We start from the raw sequence: 21,760 nt of genomic DNA, 5'->3' as shown, positions 1-21,760 counted from the left end.
ACAGAAGCTCATGCAACAGACACAGTTATACTTTATAAATGTGGGAGAGACTTTTAAGGAGATAAAATTTTGTGTTCCCAAAATGATTTTTAAGTAGAACATATTGATTCTAATTTTCTTGCATAAATATAGTCGCATCTAACAGCAACAATGGCAGAACTCGAGACCCAAATCTTTCATTCCTTCTTGGCTAATTTTCTCAGGATGGAACAGTAAGGTTAACAGAAAATGTGACTGCTTTTCCAGTATGCAAATTGTGTGAGGGACATTTTTCTCTGAATTCTACGTTTGAATTAAGTTCTTTTAGATAACTGCTGAGTCCCAAACTTTAGACATAATCTGGTCTGAAAATTCATATAAATGTTGCCAATTTATTAAATGAGATTTGTATTTGAAAATATTTTTCCCCCAACACGTAACAGTTATCCTTTTACAGCATAACAAAGGATGCAAAATTACACTTTAGGGCCCTGATATCTAAGTACAATTTTATCATTGGGAATATACCAACATAATACTTGCATATTAAACTACATTTGTAAAAAAAATTTTTGTATTTTGGTTGGTGTTTTTTTCTTTAAGCAATAATATATCAGAACAACAATATGGACTAAAAGCCCTGCTGAGTAAGCCGCAAATAATTTTTTTCAGCAATTAAAAAAAGCAACTAATAAATTAAAGCTAGTGTTTCTTTTTACTTGTGCAATAATTGACTCAAACCATGCTTGATTTAACAACTCTGAAAGAAAGAATGTGAGAACGGCCATCCTCAAACACAAGCCAACTTCAGCTGTCCTAGGGCTCAGCCTCTTATTTAAGAGCTCTGTCAGGATGCCTTTATGTTGCCTACACATACTCATGTATCCTTGCTTTGTTCACAGTACAATTTAGTTTCTGGAAAACCTGCTTTGATTTAACAATTCCCTTGAATATTGCCTCCCACAAATTCTCAGCTAACAAGGAGAAACCCCATGTTCTTCATCAAGCAGAACCACCACGTATCAATGCCATTCAGTTGTAACATAACCATTCAGTTCTAAGATATCTTACGGTTGTAAGATAACCCTTATAATATTTCTGCTAATCCGTTGCTTTAAAAAGTAAAGCTTCCACTCCAGTTGCTGTCTACAGTTGAGAGTTGACATAATTAAGTATAATCACCTCAAGTCACAACCAAAGAACATGAGCATGTGATAAATTATCTACCACTGTAACCAAATAAAAGAAGAAAAAGAACTTTGAACAAAAGAGAAAAAATGATCTCATCTTGAGATATATTTTATTATCTCCCCTTTCTTTAAATAAGAACACATAGGACACAAACACCCCCCACCCCAACTTCACGTACTATGACACCAAAGCATCTCTCGGGACTGTTCTTGGAGTGAAGGAGATTCAAAAACCAGAAGCTTTCAACAGATGCCTATTTATAGGGTCAGAATGGCTAATGCAGTTAGCATTTTGGTTTCTAATATAACAAACAGTTGTCCAAAGCAACACGTCCCTTTTTATTCTATAAAATGTAAACTAGACTAGATGGGCAAACGTAATTTAAAGAAAATACTTATCTTCTCTCGTGGTAGGTAGAGCTGCCCCCGGATTTTTATTTACCTAAATTTGTACCTTTTCTTTCATCTTCCTTTAGACTCCCAAACAGTTTTACACAAATACATTAAATATAAGATAGCACAGGGACATGGATGAAATTGGAAATCATCATTCTCAGTAAACTATCACAAGAACAAAAAACCAAACACCGCATATTCTCACTCATAGGTGGGAATTGAACAATGAGATCACATGGACACAGGAAGGGGAACATCATACTCTGGGGACTGTTGTGGGGTGGGGGGAAAGGGGAGGGATAGCATTGGGAGATATACCTAATGCTAGATGACGAGTTAGTGGGTGTAGCGCACCAGCGTGGCACCATGTATACATATGTAAATAACCTGCACAATGTGCACATGTACCCTAAAACTTAAAGTACAATAATAAAAGAAAGAAAAAAAAAAGATAGCACAAAGCTGCGGTTTTGCTCATACACTTAAGCCAAACATATATGAAAAGTCATATGCCTATCAATCCAATAATCTGTCACTGTTTTATGTCATTCTCATTAATAAAAGAACTGTATCTGCCAACTATCCCAAAGAATCTGGCTGGGCATGGTGGCTCACGCCTGTAATCCTAGCACTTTGGGAGGCTGAGGCAGGAAGACCACTTAAGCTCAGGAGTTCAAGACCAGCCTGGGCAACACAGCAAGACCTCACTTCTTCAAATAATAAAAAAAGTTAGCCAAGCATGAGCATGATAGCGCATGCCCGTGGTCCCAGCTACTCAGGATACTGAGGTAGGAGGATCATTTGAGCCTGGGAGGTCAAGGTTGCAGTGAGCTGTGAGTGCACCACTGCACTCCAGCCTGGGTGACAGAGTAAGACCCCAAATCAAAAGAAAGAAAAAAGAACCAAGAAAAAGAGTCCAAAATTACACATTTTTGGCTTCACTATTTAATTTGTCTTTACCTGAGTTAGCTCAAGGGTGACAGAGATAGCCCAATCGGAGTTATAAAGCAAACAACAGAATTAACAAGCATTAATCAGCTAATCGATTAGCTATTTTTTTTTTAATTCAGGTACAGCTGCCATAGACCAATCTCCTTTAAATTTACCCCCACAGAGGCTCACTCATTGCGACTGCCCTTCTTCTACGTACTGGGAATTTGTTGGATCCTGTGGACAACGACAAATGCATCGGACAGTCCGACTTTCACTGGATGATTGGTTGAACTTATCTGTGTGACCAAGACAGGAATCTGGAAAAAAACAAAGCAGGTAACTATATGTTAGATCTGAATTTCATACAGGGAGGAAAGGTAGTAGGATCCTCTTGTTTCATGGACAAAACCATGGGAAGGAGATAAAAGACTAGAAAGGGAGTCAAAGGTATTAGAAAAGAGAGACATACGAAACCAAAAAATAACATCAGTTTAGTGCTATTGAATGAATAGAAGAGACAGGGAGTTCCTGGTTCTAAAGAAGGCTACTTGATGTTGAAAGTAATAGATTCTCAGATAATATAATTGATGTTAGATGCTGCAAACCTATCACACATATAGGCACACCATGAATTCATTTAGTGCTGGCTATAATTTTGGAAACAGATTTTCCTCTTACTATTTGTTTTCTGAAAAAAAACTTTACTGTATATTTGTTTTTATACAGTTTTAGAAAATCTTTGTTTATAAGCAGTCTTATAGATATAAAATCTAGAGAAAAACAAATAAATGCACTGTTAAATATACATTTGACAATATCATTGTTGATTAATATCTAATTAAATTTGGCAATCATTTCACCATTCTGGTTGAAACTACTATGAAAGACTTCTAAGTTCTTATGGGTCATCTCAATGTCACAGTTCTTGTATTTGAATCTCAATGAAACCAAGATCTGAATACGATAGACATTTCTAATATTTACAGTTAAAAAATTATGATACATTGAGAATATATGAAAAATGATATAAGAGTTATAAATGACATGAACTCTTGGGAGTCCATGTTTCCAGATTCAGAAAAGATCCATTGGAGATATGATTACTCTCTTTATTATCAGTTTTACAGAAACAAAAATGGGAATGAAACCATCTTCAATAAACAAAGAAACAGGAAAGTAAAAGAAAAGAATAAATGCACCGAAAACGTCTTTAGGCAGAATAAGCAGATTTTGGGTGATCTGTGGGCAATTCATTAAATAATATATTAGATCAGATATTGCTGTGTAAGCCATAATAAACAGCATAACAATAAGAAGGGGAATAAGTTGGAGAGAATATATAATAAGTGGGAGAGAATATATAATATAATACAATACAATACAATCTATAATAAAAACTCTCTGACTTATTTTTGACCACGACATCATGAAACTGTGAAAGGGCTATTTTGTTAAAATGGACAAATTAAGAAAAAAGTTCATTGCTTTTGGAATTTGTGGAATTATCTTGAAACAAGTAAATAGAAGATGACATTTTCCCTTAATGTATTATTTCAGGTCTCTCTTAAACAACGTTAAAGTGTTTGCAAATTTTGTGTCAGTATGCTCAATTCTTAACCAATATAAATTAGTCTTCTGGTATTTGGATAACAGAAACACACAAAACAAGCAAAACAAAATCAAAATTTATATCCAAGTCTGATATACTTTATTTTTTATTTTTTATTTTTGGGACAGTCTCACTCCATCTCCCAGGCTGGAGTGCAACCTCCGCCTCCCGGGTTGAAGCTATTCTCATGCCTCAGCCTCCCAAATAGCTGAGATTACAGGCGTGTGTCACCACACCCAGCTGGATTTTTTTTTTTTTTTTTTTTTGTATTTTTAGTAGAGATGGGGTTTCACCATGTTGGCCAGGCTGGTCTGGAACTCCTGGCCTCAAGTGATCCACCCACCTCAGCCTCCCAAAGTGCTGGGATTGCAGGCGTGAGCTACTGCGCCTGGCTGATATATTTTATTTACTGATTTACTAACCTAAATTCAGTATCAATATGTGAAATCCTCTTTCTTAGTGAGCATTATACTGTTTCCCAGTCTTATACCCCATGCTGAGTACTCTAATATGAAAGTAATTTGTATTTAAGACAGACTTACAGTTAAAACATACAAGAAGATGGAAAAGCATAGGGAAAAATTCCAATTCACTTATATTTTTGTATCCTAATAAGACATGATCATCTCATTTTTAAGCAGAATCTATTAATAGAAGCAAGCATCTATTAATGCCATCATATAAATGCCACTGTTCCTGTCATTTGTCACTTGACCCCCTTCTCCAACTTCTGTGAGTTCAGTTTTCCTCTGCAAGTTGAAAAAGGCTTTACCAGATGATTCTGTGGTAATTTATTGCTTGTCTTCTTTTCCCATACCCACAGCAGTACTTGAGCTTATACTGCTATCAACTGGAAAATCCTATTATGTCATTATGTATAGTACATGTTTATGTCAGAGCTTGTTTTTTAAGTCACATGTCTTGGTTCCTGCAGCCCTCCCAGATGCATTCTCCACTCTCCAGATTATGCATTCCACCTTTTCTTTCTTTCCTTCTTTCCTTCTTTTCTCTTCCTTCCTTCCTTCCTTTTTCTTTCCTTCTTTCTTTCCTTCCTTCCTTCCTTCCTTCCTTCCTTCCTTCCTTCCTTCCTTCCTTCCTTCCTTCTCTCTCTCTCTCTCTCTCTCTCTCTCTCTTTCTTTCTTTCTTTCTTTTTCTGACAGAGTTTCACTCTTGTTGTCCAGGCTGGAGTGCAATGGCACAATCTTGTCTCACCACCTCCCGGGTTCAAGCAATTCTCCTACCTCAGCCTCCTGAGTAGCTGGGATTAAAGGCAAGTGACACTGCGCCCAGCTAACTTTGTATTTTTAGTAGAGAGGAGGTTTCCCCATGTTGGTCAGGATGGTCTTGAACTCCTGACCTCAGGTGATCCGCCCACCTCGGCCTCCCAAATTGCTGGGATTAAAGGTGTGAGCCACTGCACCCAGCCGCATTCTACCTTTTCTGTCTCTCTTCCCTATCTCTTCTTCCCTTACCCAGCCATCTTTTATTTTTATTTTTTTTCCTCAATCTCTTTCCTTCCTTTCACCCCCTTCCTTTATGTTTTGGGTCTATGTCAAGCCCTCTCCTCCAGTGCTTTTTATTGGTGGTGGGTTGATTGCAGTAATGGCCTCAATCAATGGCTTCCTTGTGCCCAGACCCTCTGTCGTCCTCTCCCACTCAGATTCCAGGCTCAATAATATGGCAAAAGAGGAGAGCAGGAAGCTTGAAGCAAAAAAAAAAAAAGAGAGAGAGAGACTTGAAAAACTGCTTACTACTTCCTTTCTTGGACCCTTGCTACAGCCAAGAAAATGTACACTACTGGTCTTCTGCAGATGTATACAAGACACATGAAGGATTTTTTTTTTTAATTTTTATTTTTTTGCACCAAAAGTTATCCTTGCCTAGCCAGCTCCCAGCCAGTCCACCAGATAACAGCTTACACATTCAGAAGCTCAGCTGAGATCAGCAGGGTCCAGCCCATATCAGTAGAACCAGCAAGCTGATTTATAGGCAACTTGTGAGAAATAAGAAATGGAGTTGTTTTAAGCCACTACATTTTGGGGTGGTTTATTACACAGCAATATCAATCAATACATTCTCTGTTAAAAGTCAAATAGCCAATAGAATAGAATATGGGTGTTTCTCCATAAAATGAGGTAGTATTGCTCATCCTAATTTTCTGGGAATCAGATAAGTATCTATTTTTAAGACATTGGGTCTCACTGTGTTGCCCAGGCTGGAGTGCAGTGGCATGATCATAGCTCACTGCAGCCTCAAACACCTGGGCTTAAGCAATACTCCTGCCTCAGCCTCCCTAGTAGCTGGGACTACAGGTGCACACCATCATGCCCAGATTTCAGATAAATATCTAATTCTAGGTATAATTAAACTTGAAAGATTGGAATGTTCCAGTAGAAAAGTTTCACTTTGTGCAGCATTTTTTTTTCATTCTTCTGTCTCTTTAGTTTATTCTTTTGTCTGTGCATTTCAAAAACTAAGCCCAATATACATAAATTACCTAGATTTAGATTCATTTAACAGGAGAAAAATTTACCCGAAACCAAAATGGGTAGCCTCACGGTGTACTGAGTTTTCTATCACTGAAAATTATCTGATATATAACTGACCAACCCTCTAGGAAGATCACTATAAGTGATCTTTGATTCTTTCAGTTATCAAATTAAATTTTTTTCAAATGATTTTGACTTTTCCAAGCTTCAACAAGTAAATTGTTAACAACGATACAAACTAAAATGATAAGGGTGAAATACTCTACCTTTATGTAAGGAGAGTAGAAGTTAGGTAGAAATCATCATTTGTAGTCAAGAGTTATGCTTTAACTTGTTGCCAGTTTTTTAAGTGTACATATTCATGGGTTAATGATTTCTGATTACTGCATCTGTCAAACCACCACTACCATATAACTCTACTATGAGTCTTAATATAATTGGGGATTAGACAGTAGAAAATAGATTCCTAAGAATGATGTCTACTAGATATAAATTATTTTCCCCAAAAGGCATACACACTGTCCATTTGATAAGATAGAATCCATTCATTCATTCATCAGATATTAATTGAATATATTTTCTGTATTATTGTAGGCACTGGAATTACAGCAGATAGGAAAACAAAGACCCTTCTCTCACAGAGCCTACATTCTAGAGAACAGGGACAGGCATTAAAACAAGTGAACATAAAACCTATAGCATACTAGAAGGTGGTTAGTACCAAGGAGAAAACTAAAACAGAGTAAGAAGATAGAGAGGAACAGGGATCTCTAGGAGAGAAGAGAGTCGCAGAAGCTCTCTCTGAGAAGGTGATTTTTCAGCAGAAACTCGAAGGAAGTAAGAAAATCTGTCATGTGGATATTTGGGAAACAACTGTGGGTAGATGTACCGGCACATGTAAAGGGCTTGACTGAATTTTAGGAGTTAAAAGGTTGTCTCTACAGCTGGAGCAGAAGTAGTAAACAAGTGTGTCAAAGGTGATGGGAGGTGGTAGGGGCAGATCATAGGGAGCGTGTATTCCTTGCAAGCCATGACAGTGACACTGGATTTTAGTCCAAAAGATACAGAAAGATTTGGGAGGTTTTGAGCAGAGGAAAGGACATTCCTTTATTTTGGAAAAATATCACGCTGGCTGCTGGGAAATCAAGACTGTAGAAGGACAACGGGAGCCAGACAAACTAGTTAGGAGGGTATCACAGTTTTCCAGGTAAGAGAAGGTGCCATGCTCCACCCCAAAGTGGTAACAGTGGTGTAAGTGACAGAGGCAGATTCTGGAAGAATTATGTATGCACTGCTATTGAGACTCCCCATAGATTTAATAAAGACAGCGAGGGACAAAAGCAGAGTAAAGGATACCACAAAGGCTTTTGGTTTCAGTAGCAAGAGCAATGAAATGGTGTTTTCATCAGGAATGTTATAGGTTGTACAACTCCAGAGGACTCACTCACTTCACGGTCTATGAGAAGTGTCCTTTCGATATGCAGGGAACAACATATGCAGCTCTCAAGACCAGTCCTGAAACATTCAAAGACCAGGAGAGGAAGCGCTGGAGAGGGATGACCACTTTATGGCAAAACCACTGGCTTCAAATGTTCTCCATTAAAATTTTGTAGAGCTCATGAGTAAGAGCCCAGGATTTCTAAAACTGTACTCTTTTGTCCTGATTAAATATTAAAATGAAAATGTACAAGAAACTTTCAACTACTTATATTTTCCTAGAAGCCACCCAAGGCTTTTATGAAACCATTACATGCCAGATTTTGAAAAAACTGATTTTGCCAAGTGAATTAAATGTCTAATGTCATCAAAGATTAATGAGGAAAAGGTGAACAATTCCAGGCTTTCTCTAAAATTTCCTATGGAACATGTCTGCCTCTCCACACCTGATATTTTCCTATCATGAGACCAGTCTGCAGGGTCCTCTGTCAGCATAAAATTAGAGACTATATTATTAAAAGGTACATTTAAAATAAACTACTTTTAAAAATATTTATTTATTTATTTATTTATTTACTTATTTATTTGAGACAGAGTCTCATTCTGTTGCCCAGGCTGGAGTGCAGTGGTGCAATCACAGTTCACTGCAGTCTCAACCTCCAGGGCTCAAGTGATCTTCCTGCCTTAGCCTCCCGAGTAGCTTGCTTGCTAGTTCTTTTTAATTTTTTTTTTTTTTTTTTTTTTTTTTGCAGAGACAGAGTCTCATTATGTTACCCAGGCTGTAAAATGAACTTCTTTTTGACTAATAACAAAGACATTATGTGTGTGCATATGTGTATGTATAAACAAGCTATTTAGAAGTATAGCTATTTAGAAGTATAGCTATTTAGAAGTATTGGGCAAATTAGCACAAGAATGAACATGTTATTGTCATGATCACGTATTTTATAGAAGACTCTGTATTTAGAAGGATATGAAGTGCCAAAGTCAATGAACATATGGACCAAAAACATGTTAAAGCACCAAAACTTTAAAAACTTTGATTACAGGAAGCGATTTTCTTATCCTTTCTACAAATTTATATTCATCCTCAAAATGTCTCGTGAGTCATCACGAGATCCTGGGGGTGTCAGGAAGCCAAACTGAAATAATAAAAACTCTAAACTACAGAAGTTTTTTTTTTTAAACAATGTAGCTTTATTATTTTTAAGTGTCTATAATAGTTGCCTTAAGATTAAAGCAAAGCTAAATTTTAACTGGGCCTCTGTATGATCTGTATTGAATCGCACATTTCTGAGGAATTGGTTTTACAATTACATTCTCTCCACAGGATAGAAATAAAAGGAGCTTTCACACTGGTTAAAATATGCTTCCATTTTGACCCCTAAAAGCATTCATGAATACTTCTTTTAAATAACAGTATAATTTTTGCTCTATATAACAAGATAGAGATAGGTTTATTACTTGGTATACATTTTTCTATAACAGATATTAAAGCAAAGCAAAGTAAGCATAGAAGCAGAAAGTGGTTGCAATTGCTACACAAAATCAAGGCAGGAAAAGATGTCAGGGGTAAAAATAGTAGAGCAGAGCACACTGGCCTTTGGAAGGAGAGTCAAAGACAGAAGCTCCTCTCTTCTCCACTCTGTGGTATCTTTCTCCAGCACACAGGAACCCCAAACAATTCCTTAACCATGAGCTTTTTACATCTGTCTCTAAACCAGGGAGATAACAGCATGCCGCTTAAGTAATAGTTAATGGAATTTTATTTTCCTCTTTGTTCTGCCCTGAAAACATCACCAAAACATTCATTTGTTTCCATTACAGGCCCAGCTATCTATCCAGTAGGCAGCACAGTATCTCAGCAAGGGTTTGATTGTATAGTATGTGTTCCAAGGTGTGAATCATATGCCTATCTAACCTTAACTGGAAAAGAATTACTCCAAACTCATTTTTGTTTCCCTGCTAATCTGCAATATGGTGTTCAGTAGCTTAATATTAAAAACAACAGCAACAACAAAATCCCACAATAAACTCAAAGGTTTCTGTTTTACCCATTCTTATCTGCCTGTAACCCTTAACTTTCTCCTTCGTTTTACTTAAGTATCTGACCTGGCTTCAGTGTTATCAGCAGTGAATCTAATTTTTAAGAGTCATGATCTCTTTTATTATTATCAAAACAACAACCTGTAGCACAAGCTACCTTGGAGGCTGAGGCAGGAGAATCACTCGAGCCCAGGAGTTGGAGGCTGCAGTGAGCTATGATAGTGCCATTGCACTCCAGCCTGGATGACAGAGCAAGAAACTGTCTCTACAAAACAAACAAACACATAAAGTCCAAAATATTAATGGTGAGTTGTCTGTAAACTACACTTGAATAGAAGGGCTTTCAGTTAAACTTGACAATGTAAAAATCCATTTGCTTTCCAGGGTATCAGTAACAATTTGCACAATTATTTCCATCTTTTTTTATTGTACAGCTCCTGAACTCTCATCTGCCAGGTATTGAGCAATGCATCTAACAGCGTGACAGTCAAGGTGAGCTATCATCAAACGATCAATTCCTAACATGCCTCCTGCCCCCATCTCCACAATCATAATCTGTAGAAAATCTGGAAGCAGTCAACTAACAGCATGAAGATGATAAGTAAAATCCACCTCCACTTTAAAAAAGAGGTTTCAAACTTCCTTTCTACATAAGCTACTGTGTGCCTTGGGTAAGAGAAGAAATTCATGAGGGAGAAATTGGAGGGTGCACACTTTGAGTGAATTTTCCAGGCAATATTTGCAAGACAAGGGCTTCCAGGGCTTTCCGAGTCCTCAAGGAAAAAACGCACATCTATATTTTTACTTGAAATATTTTAATATTTAGATGTCGGCAACATATCTGTTTTACAAACGTGTACACTTAAAACATAAAAACATACACAGAGTAAAAAGTGTGCCCTCTGAGTTAAGACTGCTCACATTGAATTGGAACACGAAGAGTCTGAACTTCACACAAAAGACAGTGACGCAGGGTGCCCACTTGAAGAAGCTTGTGCCATTGGACTCAAGATAGTCAAGACTCTGGTGTGGATTTTACCTGGGACAATAGCTAGATAAGGAAACTTATCTAAACATGGCTTGGGACTTAAACATCAAGGGAAAAGAAAGGAGATTAAGGAAAGTCTACACCCTGGGTTTGGGGGAGACACAAAAAATTAGCTAGGCATGGTGGCATGCACCTGTAATCCCAGCTCCTTGGGAGGCTGAGGCAGGATAGTCATTTGAACTCGGGAGGCAGAGGTTGCAGCGAGCTGAGATCGCGCCACTGCACTCCAGCCGAGGCAACAGAATGAGACTCTGTCTTAAAAAGTAATAATAATACATAAAATAAAATAAAATAATTTCCTCTGGGACATTGATCTTTCTACCTGGCTACTTTATTTATTTATTTTTACACACAGCATTTGCCATCAGAACATGATCAAGGGAGAATAATTCAACTTATTTTCTTACACTAGGAAAAGTAAACAAAAAATTAAAATGTCAGGCACTTCTATATGTGAGATAGCTAAAAAATAAAATATCTCTACAAATACAAATGAATTAGATCCCACATGAAGCTGTGTAGATAAAATTTTAATATTTTACTTGTTTAAAATATAGGGAAGTCCTATGATATAAAATATCTGTCTCTACATTTTCCTTAGAATTATTTCTTGAGAGCTTTTAATCAGCATTTTATTCAATCTGGTTTTCTTTTCCTTGTATTAGATATATATGTACATATATATTATTCTTTTCTGCTCACACATTTATCAAATGTCTTGGCTGTATACACTATATTCACACATCAAGTATTCTCACAGATGTAGCAATAGTTATAGAAGGAAATTACCTTATATCTAAATGGTGGTGGTCTCACTGTTCTGTTCTTTTTGGCCTTCTCTGACTTTCTTGAATTACCTTTTTTCTATAAATTCTACAAGTTCAGCCAATGTTCATCTTTCAATACTTTCAGGCGGCTAACCATGAGTGAAGGGTCATTACAGTTTAAATAAGAGAAATAATCTTCAAAGAAATTTTAAAAAATGCATTAAGAGCCCCATTGAAACTTACAACTAATTGGCAATGGTGATTTATTAACTATGCATTCTTCCATAGAAGCAGCAAATGTGACACCAAGGAACATTAGGTTTAAATACTTAAATAGAATAGATTAAAAAGTGATTTTACTTAATAAACAGTAAAGTTCCTCTATATTGACCTCCTCTAAAATTTGCTGCTGAAGGAAATGGTAAAGTATTCAACCAAGAAAATGGATAGAACAGGCTGACTCCTGGGCTAAGCCAGTCTTGTCTCTTCTGTGATTTTTCTCCTGTTGCCATCTAGTAGGATTATATGACATTTTTATTTAAATTACAGTTTCCTAACCTAATGACTATCCTTATTCCTCACATAAGCTAGTGAAAAAAAAGAACCCGAGTTTGCAGTTGACACAAAAAAAGAGTCACATCCACCTATAGTTTGTGTCCAGAGTGATTACAAATGCCAAGTATATCAAGAGAATAGAGATAAGACAAGTCAAAGAAACTGCAACTTCTACAAAGTAAGAGTATCCTAGGATAGACAGCATCAAGGCCTGTAAAGACCCTTATTTCAAATCTCCAGGATTTTTTAAATACATTTTTTTTTTTTTTTGAGACAGAGTCTCCTTCTGTCGCCCAGGCTGGAAGGCAGTGGCATGATCTCTGCTCAGTGCAACTTCTGCCTCCCGGGTTCAAGAGATTCTCCTGCCTCAGCCTCCTCAGTAGCTAGGATTACAGGCGTGCACCACCATGCCCAGCTAATTTTTGTATTTTTAGTAGAGACAGGGTTACACCATGTTGCCAGGCTGGTCTCCAACTCCTGACCTCAAGTGATCAGCCCACCTTGGCCTCCCAAAGTGCTGGGATCACAGGCGTGAGCCACCGTACCCGGCCATTGGAATAAAATGTTTTTTTGAGAATTGTTAGTTTCCTTGTTACATTATCAATAGACCACAAATTTTAGAACCATATCTATTATAATCAAGCAAAAATCATCACTATTTAATGGCAACTTAATACGAAGAAGCTGAGATTTAGGGTTATAGCTAATTACTAATAGAATAGGAAAATGAGAGTTTGATTTCCAAACTCCATGTATTTAAGAAAGGATCCGGTTTTTTTTTGGCCTATGTACAGGTTCTTTCATTTAAAAAATTATAGATTAATAAGATAAATGCTGTGGATAGGCAAACCTTACCTTTGCTCCCAAATGGCCTTGATATGCTATGATATGATATATTAGGCTATGGTATGATAATGACTGGCTAAGGAAGACTGTCAAGGATATCAGAATGAATGAATTGATTCAGTCACTTATTGAAAAGAAAGTTTTTAAGAGGGCATTCTGGTACAGTAGCTAGGCCTTAGGGCTTTAGAGTCATATTTCTTTGGATAAATCTTTGTTCCATATCTTTGGAAAAGTTACTTAAGGTCTCTGGGTATTTCAGGTTCCTTTTCCGTAAATGACAAAAGTAGCTACTCATGGTTTTTGTGAGAAGTATACATAATTTATTTTAAATGCTTAGGTCGGTGCTTGACATATATGAAGAGCTCAAGAAATGCTAGATTTTATCAACTTTGGAGGTTATTGTTAAATGTGAATGTGACTTTCACTTCTGGTTATGGCACACAAGATTAAGATCATTTCTACCACTTAAATCAAGCAGGAAATGTGAATAAAATATGGAAAGCTTCCACTGAAAACTTCAGGTAGTTATCAAAGAGCAAGGTCTTGAAAAGACAAAATCCCAAAGAAAGGAAAATGCAGACGTAAACCCAACAACACTTTTCCCATCAAAGCATTTGCCAATGTATAAGCAAGTGTTAGAGAGTGAGAAGGTCTCACTGACTTAGCCCAGAGAGTTTAAGTAACTACCCTATACACTTTCTTTTCAATACATGACTGAATGGTTCAATGGTTCATTTTGATATCCTTGACTGTCTTTCCTGGCTAGTCATTTTCATTCCATAGCTTAGCACCTCATATTATATCAATCATTTCATAGCCACTTGTGAACACAGGTAAGAATGATTTGCCTTTCCACAGCCTTTGGGCTGTCTCATGGAGCTGAAGAAAAATACATGCATTCAGGGGCACTAAGGAAAAGGTCCATAGCAAAAATTCAGATCTTTAGTGGAGATCCCTGAAGGACTAGAAGAGTAAGGGCTTACCAGAAATATTCTGGTCTCATAAGAACTGATGCTCAACTTTGAAGGGGCTTAGCTGTACAGTATTAAAGTTATCTGTTCTGTACCAACTGCCAAAAAAATAAACTGTCTTGTAGGAAGAAAACATTATCTACATCCTCAAAGTACTTTGGTACTTTGTAAACCATGTCCAATATTTTATTTTAAAAATCACCTAGCATGCAAAGAAATATGACCAATGAATGAAAATCTAGAGGAAATAAAAAGAAAACAGGTGATAGAGACAGACCTGTAAGACATTTAGATATTGGAGTTATTAGTCATAAGGTTTAAAATAATTGTTATTAATATAGTCAAGGAAATAGATGTTATAGTTAATTTTATCAGGTAATTAAATCTGTCTAAAAAACAACTGGATACTCTAAAATTGAAAAATGCATTATAATGAACAGTTGGTAATTTGAGAAAAAGAACTTTAAAAAAATATTATTCTTATTGTATTTTGGCTGATTTCTAAGCAAACTCTATCTTTGAAGTTAATTAAAATATGCAGCTGTGTAACAGTAAGGGCCCATAATTTAAAACAGAATTTCAAATCTTTGGTTGAACAACACAGAGCTATAACCTCAGGAAAAATAACTTAATTACTTAAGGGAATCCATGCCTCCACAAGTCTTCTCTCCAATATGATTCTAGAAAACAACAGGGTATTGGTGAAGAAACACTGAATATTATGAGCAAATCTGTATTCATTCTTATTTTAAGCAGCAGTTGTACTTCCCTATTTCAATCCCACTATAAGCAAGATTGTTATAACTCTAAATGTATTTTCTTATTTATTGATCATTCATCATTTAGTGTGCACTGCAAAAAAATTATGCTATTGAAGAAATGACAATATTTGCAGCATGAAAGGATTGGAGGTCATGTACATGCTTAGCATGGTTGGCACATTTAAATACTAAGATAAATTGAATGAGGGCATTGAAAATGAAATTTACTTAACTAAATTTATTCAATCCATTACTAATTTTAATGTAAAATTTAATGGTAATTAAAATTTACAATTTTAAAACAAGCCCCAAATTGGTGGTGGGTTTTGTGTAAATCAGAATTTTTCTTCTCATTCACATAAAACATAATGAAACAAAACAAAGCTGGTGTTAGCCTATTAGAAGAAACTTATTACAGAAAGAATTACACGTACTTCCCTATGTATAATTTGGCAAGTTTAGCTTGGACAGGAACAGAAAATTTTACTCCTTGTAATTATATGCTCTTAGAATTTGGTTAGTTCTGCAAATGAAGTAGGAATACCTCTCTTATCTATACTTGTAATTGTGTGATATGACAAGTCTAATAAGCAAGATTGTTAAACAGCCAATATTAAGAAACGCTTATTGGAAAGACAAATGAGACATAGATTTGTGAATTGTTTTACATAATCTCTTTAGGCAGAGAAAATGGTTGAGATGTCTTGGGATCATCAAATTAAATTCTGGATTTATTCTTAACTAGCTCTGTGACCTCAAGTATGTCATTTAATCTCTCTGACTTACCCTGCTCAGCTATAAAATGAAGATAATCATGTATGATCTATTTCCAAAATTAAGTCATAAACATTTATTGAACAGCTTCTATGTACCACCGCTATTGTAAAATACTTAGGATATTAAAGCTGTAGGAAACTATTGAGGAATTAAATGCTATAATGCATGTGAAAGTACTTTGTAAGTGGTAATACATTACGCAAACTACTATTTTATGCTATCATGTGATTAGGAATATTTTTCCAGCAGTGCCAGGAGCTTCTAGCTCTCACCTCAAATGCAAGGGGACTCTCTTACGACAAATTTTACAAATAACAATTTGCCTTAGCAAAATAAAATACATAACAATTATTGGGAAGCAAAAAGTGGTAGACTAGAAAAGTAGAAACTGCTTTGTATCGAGAACAAAGAAAGAACAGAAAGGCAAATAATAAAGTAAAGTAAATAATAAAGTAAAAATGACTTCTTTGAACTCCAAGTGCAGAGGGAAGACATTCTTCAGGACAAGAGCCTGGGAATATCAAGAAAACATTAAATTTGCCTGTCATCTTGAAATTCCCCATAACAAAACAGGAAAACCATAGTGGAACTTTTTTCTTTGATTAAAATGAAGAAAAGAAAAGGCCTTTAAAAATACCAACCAAGAACAGAGAAAAGGAAGAATTCTGCAATGTGAGACACCTTTGAGAACAGCGTAAAGAAAGATGACAATTTCAATAATAAAGACTAGCAAGCGAAGCCACAATAAGAACACAAATTTCTGTTTTGACAAAGCCTCCAGGTGGTGAGACCTAAGTCTCCAAACTTACTGACCTTGCGTCTTTACAGAGACTTGACCAGTGTTGGTTCAAACCGTTGAAAATGAACATTGCAAAACGTCACTGTGCAGTTACAGCAATATACTAGATTGCAATGAAAACTAGAAATGAATAAGTCCTTTTGAGAACTATTCTCTCAGCTTCCAGGGAGTGTGACATAAAAATATAGTGGGCTCTGATATAAAAACACAGCCCTGATGTTATTTCTTTGAGGAATCGCCACACTGCTTTCCCCAGTAGCTGAACTAATTTACACTCCCACCAGCAGTGTATAAGCATTCCCTTTTCTCCACAACCTCACCAGTAAAACTACATTCAGGCCAGCAATCCCATTACTGGGTATATAACCAAAGGAATGTAAATCCATGTAACCAAACACCACCTATTTCCCCAAAACCTATTGAAACAAAAAACTGGGTAGAACAAAGAAAATTTTTAGGGCAGGGAAGATTCTGTAGGACACCATAATGATGGATGCATGACATTATACATCCTTAAAACCCTTAGAAAGTACAGCATCAAGAGGGAACTCTAATCTAAGAACTCTGAGTGACATTGATGTGTCAATGTCAATGTAGGTTCATCTATTGCAACAAATGTACCATTCTGGTGGGGTATGTCGATGATGGGGGAGGATGTTCAGCAGGACAAGAAGAGTATGTTCAAACTCTGTGTATTTTCTGCATCATTTTCTGTGAATCTAAAACTACTCTAAAAAAGTAAACTCTATTAATTAAAAGAATAAGTAAATCATTCTGCCACACAGACACATACATATGTATGTTAATTGCAGCACTATTTATAATAGCAAGGACATGGAATCAACCTAAATGCCCACCAATGATAGACTGGATAAAGAAAACCAGGTACATATACACCATGGAATACTATGAGGCCATAAAAGAAATGAGATCATGTCTTCTGTAGGGACCTGGATGGAGCTGGAGGCCATTATCCTTAGCAAACTAATGCAGGAATGGAAAACCAAATACCAAATGTTCTCACTTATAAGTGGGAGCTAAATGATGAGAATGCATGGGCCAAAGAAGGGAACAACAGACACTGGGGCCTACTTGAGAGTGGAAGGTGAGAGGAGGGAGAAGATCAGAAAAAATAACTATCGGCCGGGCGCAGTGGCTCACGCCTGTAATCCCAGCACTTTGGGAGGCCGAGGCAGGAGGATCACCTGAGGTAGGGCGTTCAAGACCAGCCTGATCAACATGGAGAAACCCCGTCTCTACTAAAAATACAAAAATTAGCTGGGCATGGTGGTGCATGCCTGTAATCCCAGTTACTTGGGAGGCTGAGGCAGGAGAATCGCTTGTACCCAGAAGGCAGAGGTTATGGTGAGGCAAGATCTGGCCATTGCACTCCAGCCTGGGCAACAAGAGTGAAACTCCAACTCAAAAAAAAAAAAAAAAAAAAAAAAAAGAAAAGAAAAAAAAAGAAAGAAAAATAACTATTGAATCCAAGGCTTAGTACCTGGGCGAGAAAATAATCTGTACAACAAAACCTCCAGGACATGTGTTTCCCTATATAAGACACCTACACATGTACTCCTGAACCTGAAATAAAAATTAAAAGAAAAACACCATACACTTGGACAAAGAAACATAGAGTAAGACATAGTCTATAATTATAACCTGTTTACACAATTGCCCCCAAGTAAATGAAAAATTTCATTAAAAAAGTTTTTAAAGGAATAGAAATATCTGACATGGTTACAGAATTTTTAAAAGTTGGCCTATTTAATTGTAATTAAATTATGCCGCACTTTATGGAATAGATGGATTTCAGAAGATTTGACCAAAGGGCATTCTTTCTTTATCCTCAACATCCCTTTTATAATCTAGGATTCAATTCTCAAGGAAAAAGTAATCCCTCAGCTGAACATAAGATATCGAGTCTGTAATATTATAAATACCCATTAACCTATGGGTTAATAATGCTCATTAGTAATTCTCACAGTTCAGGTTTCTCTCATAATTAGAGACTATCTAAAACATTACATTTGTAGTTCCTGGAACTTTATTTTTATATTCTTAGTCCAACAGGCCTTACTTACTTTGTCAGAAGAGTTGGAAATCAAACACACAGTTATTCTAGTCTAAATATTCTGTAAATTTAAGGCTACAATTTAGTAAATTTTCATTCTTTACTTTGTCAGTTTGTTAAAATGAAACAAACCTAAGTTTAAATTTCCTTGTTTTTTCTGTCACTTAGGTCTCTAATTAATCTTTCCTATCTGGTTTCAACAAACATTAGCCAAAGCACAGCCATCCTAGAACTCTCTCAGTACTGGGTCCTTGAGCCACATAAGTTTTCGTGTCTATAAATGCTTTTGAAATTAGAACCAAAATATAACAAAGAAATCAACCAGGTGAAAAAAAAAAAACTAACTAAAGAAAATACGTAAATATAAACATTTACATTTAGATGAGAAATCCCTCCAAATTGAATTTTTTTTCTTAGAGACATTTCACTCTAATTACTCAATAATTAGTCAATATAATTACTCAATAATTTTATGAAATTGATGAGTCCTGATGCCAACAATATCAGAATACAAAAGAGCTAACAATCAATGCACCCAGAAAATTAAAACTAATCAAAACATTTTTTATTAAGCAAAGGAAACCAAGAGGCAAGAAAATGATTTGAGGATCATGGCTGTAAAATGTCCCTTTCTTGACATTTGGAGGAAAGGCAGCAGTCAAGAACAAGGGGAAGGGAAAGAAATTATCAACGCATCACTTACTTCTTTGTATCCAAAGATGATTCGTCCATCCATGAGCAGGGTTGCCTGGAATGTGAAGCTTCCCAGGTTATAATTATCCTGGAGATGTACATGGTCCCACTGGACCACAAGTGCTGTGCCTATACACCCATTGAAAAAAGAAGAAATGCAATGAGAAAAACATACCAATCAATTCTGGTGGGAGTTTTCACAAAAATGTTTTTGCATCTGGCCTTCAAATCTGGTAGTTGTACTATTTCGATTTTATGTGGTTAATCAAATTCTGTTATTGAAATAGCATTTGGGATTTTTTTTAAAGGATTGAGTACTCTCTAAATATTTAGTAAAATAGAACCTCATACTAAGGTCAATAATTGAGCTAATGCAGTGTGGGGGAATTTTGCCTTAGGAATTTTATTAATGTTAATAGATACTGTCTGCTTAAATTTCCATAAGCCACTTTCAAAATGCAGCCCAAGTGGATTGAATGAACTTCAAATACATTTGACAAATGCTGAGAGAGAAACACATCTAAAAAGTTAGGACCACATACAAAAGACCTGAAAATGTCTTTTCCATACTTAAAATTATACTTTTCCACATTGAAGGAGTTCCTTTAACACTAATGGGAATTTTCTCCTTGAGTTCACAATGCTTGTATTTCTGTCTTTGTTGTGTTTCTTCCAGGAAGCTGTAAGAAGCTCAAAGGGCCCTGGACTAAGATTTTTGAAGTCCCCTTGAAGCACACTGGGATGAAACTTCAGTGCTGTATATTATATTCTGAATCACTCTGTCAGTGTTTACCATAAACGATTGGGCATGAAATAAAAACTGAAACATAGTTTAATAGTCACCAGTGAGAATTCAAATTTTTGTTTTAACTGACATTGTGTACTCTCTTTTTTTAAAAAAAAAGAAAAGAAATGAGCTGCTAAGACTTTTTCTTCACTCTAAATATTAGATTTTTCTGTTTGGTTAGAAAAACTGTTGCCCAAAAAAGTTGTGCTGAAAATGAAAATCATAGAACTAAAAGAGCAAATCTTATCTCCCAGTAATAAATATCTGATATATTTAAAAATTACAATTGCATGGAAGAATTAATTTTCAGTAACTATTTGGTGCTATTAGTAATATCTCTTGAGCTGGTTGACAATTTTAAATAGACACATTATTTCAAATATTTTGAACACCCAATTGTAAGTCCTGAAAGGATGTTGAAGTAAAGAAATGTATTTCTTTTGAGGCAAAACTTTAAAAGTAAAAAAGAAAAAAAAGTTTTTTAACTTGACCTTGGTGCTTTTAGCCATTATCACTGCTGTGAGTGAAGACCACTCAGGTCTCTTCCTTCCACGGGCATCTCCGTGTCTATATTGTCCTGAGGGAGGGAGGGAGGGAGGGAGGGAGGAAGGAAGGAAGGAAGGAAGGAAGGAAGGAAAAAGAAAAGAAAAGAAAGAAAGGAAGGAAGGAAGGAAGAAAGGAAGAAAGAAAGAAAAAGAAAGAAAGAAAGAAAAGGAAGCAAGGAAGCAAGGAAGAAAGAAAGGAGGGAGGGAGGAAGGAAGGAGAAAAGAAAAGAAAGAAGGAAGAGAAAAGAAAAGAAGAGAAAACAAAAAAAATAGAGCAAAAGAAGACAGTAGCCAGGAAACCTCCCATGATTTTATAAGTATAGGAATTTTCTGATTGTGAAATGCCTCCTAACTTCTTTTTCCTTCACACATGTCTACAACCCTCAAGCTCTAGTCTATTCCTTATTTTCTAGTTTCTATCGCACTCTGGTGATGCAGTGAAAACAATGAACCAGAGGGCAGAAGACTTAGACTTGCATCTTGTCTCTATAAAACTTTCCATGTGAACTTGGACACAATTAATCTGCATGAACCCGTTTCCTTTCCTATAACATGGGGAGTATAGTTTTTGCCTTCAAGACATTCCTGCATTAAATACAAGAAAATATACTTACGCTTGATTATTTATGAAAATAAGAGGGCTATATAAATTAAAGTTTTTAATGCCAATTCTGAGGAAGGGATTCCTAATATTTTGTTAGTAGCAGGTTGTTAAAAACCACACTGTTGACCAGGTGCGGTGGCTCACAACTGTAATCCCAGCACTTTGAGAGGCCGAGGCAGGCGGATCACGAGGTCAGGAGATCCAGACCATCCTGGCTAACACGGTGAAACCCCATCTCTACTAAAAAAAATATTAAAAAATTAGCCGGGCGTGGTGGTGGGCGCCTGTAGTCCCAGCTACTCGGGAGGTTGAGGCAGGAGAATGGCATGAACCCGGGAAGCGGAGGTTGTAGTGAGCAGAGATCATGCCAGTGCAGTCCAGCCTGGGCGACAGAGTGAGACTCCATCTCAAAACACAAAAAACAAAAAAAAGTGTACTGTTTGCACATGTTAAG

General features: G+C 36.3%; 1 protein-coding gene across 3 annotated transcripts in view; it reads right to left on the bottom strand.

Moving 5' to 3' along the window:
* Nucleotides 1–21,760, bottom strand: part of PLXDC2 (plexin domain containing 2) — a 473,425-nt gene that overhangs the window by 122,574 nt on the left and 329,091 nt on the right. For all 3 annotated transcript variants that reach the window (NM_032812.9, NM_001282736.2, XM_011519750.3), the window contains 2 exons: nucleotides 19,381–19,499; nucleotides 2,716–2,815 (listed from right to left, as the gene is read on the bottom strand). In NM_032812.9, the coding sequence (NP_116201.7) occupies nucleotides 2,716–2,815; nucleotides 19,381–19,499 (219 nt within the window). The remainder of the gene's footprint in view (nucleotides 1–2,715; nucleotides 2,816–19,380; nucleotides 19,500–21,760) is intronic.

The sequence above is a fragment of the Homo sapiens genome, chromosome 10, assembly GCF_000001405.40.
Source record: "Homo sapiens chromosome 10, GRCh38.p14 Primary Assembly".
Taxonomy (NCBI): domain Eukaryota; kingdom Metazoa; phylum Chordata; class Mammalia; order Primates; family Hominidae; genus Homo; species Homo sapiens.
This window is presented reverse-complemented; position numbering and strand designations above follow the sequence as displayed.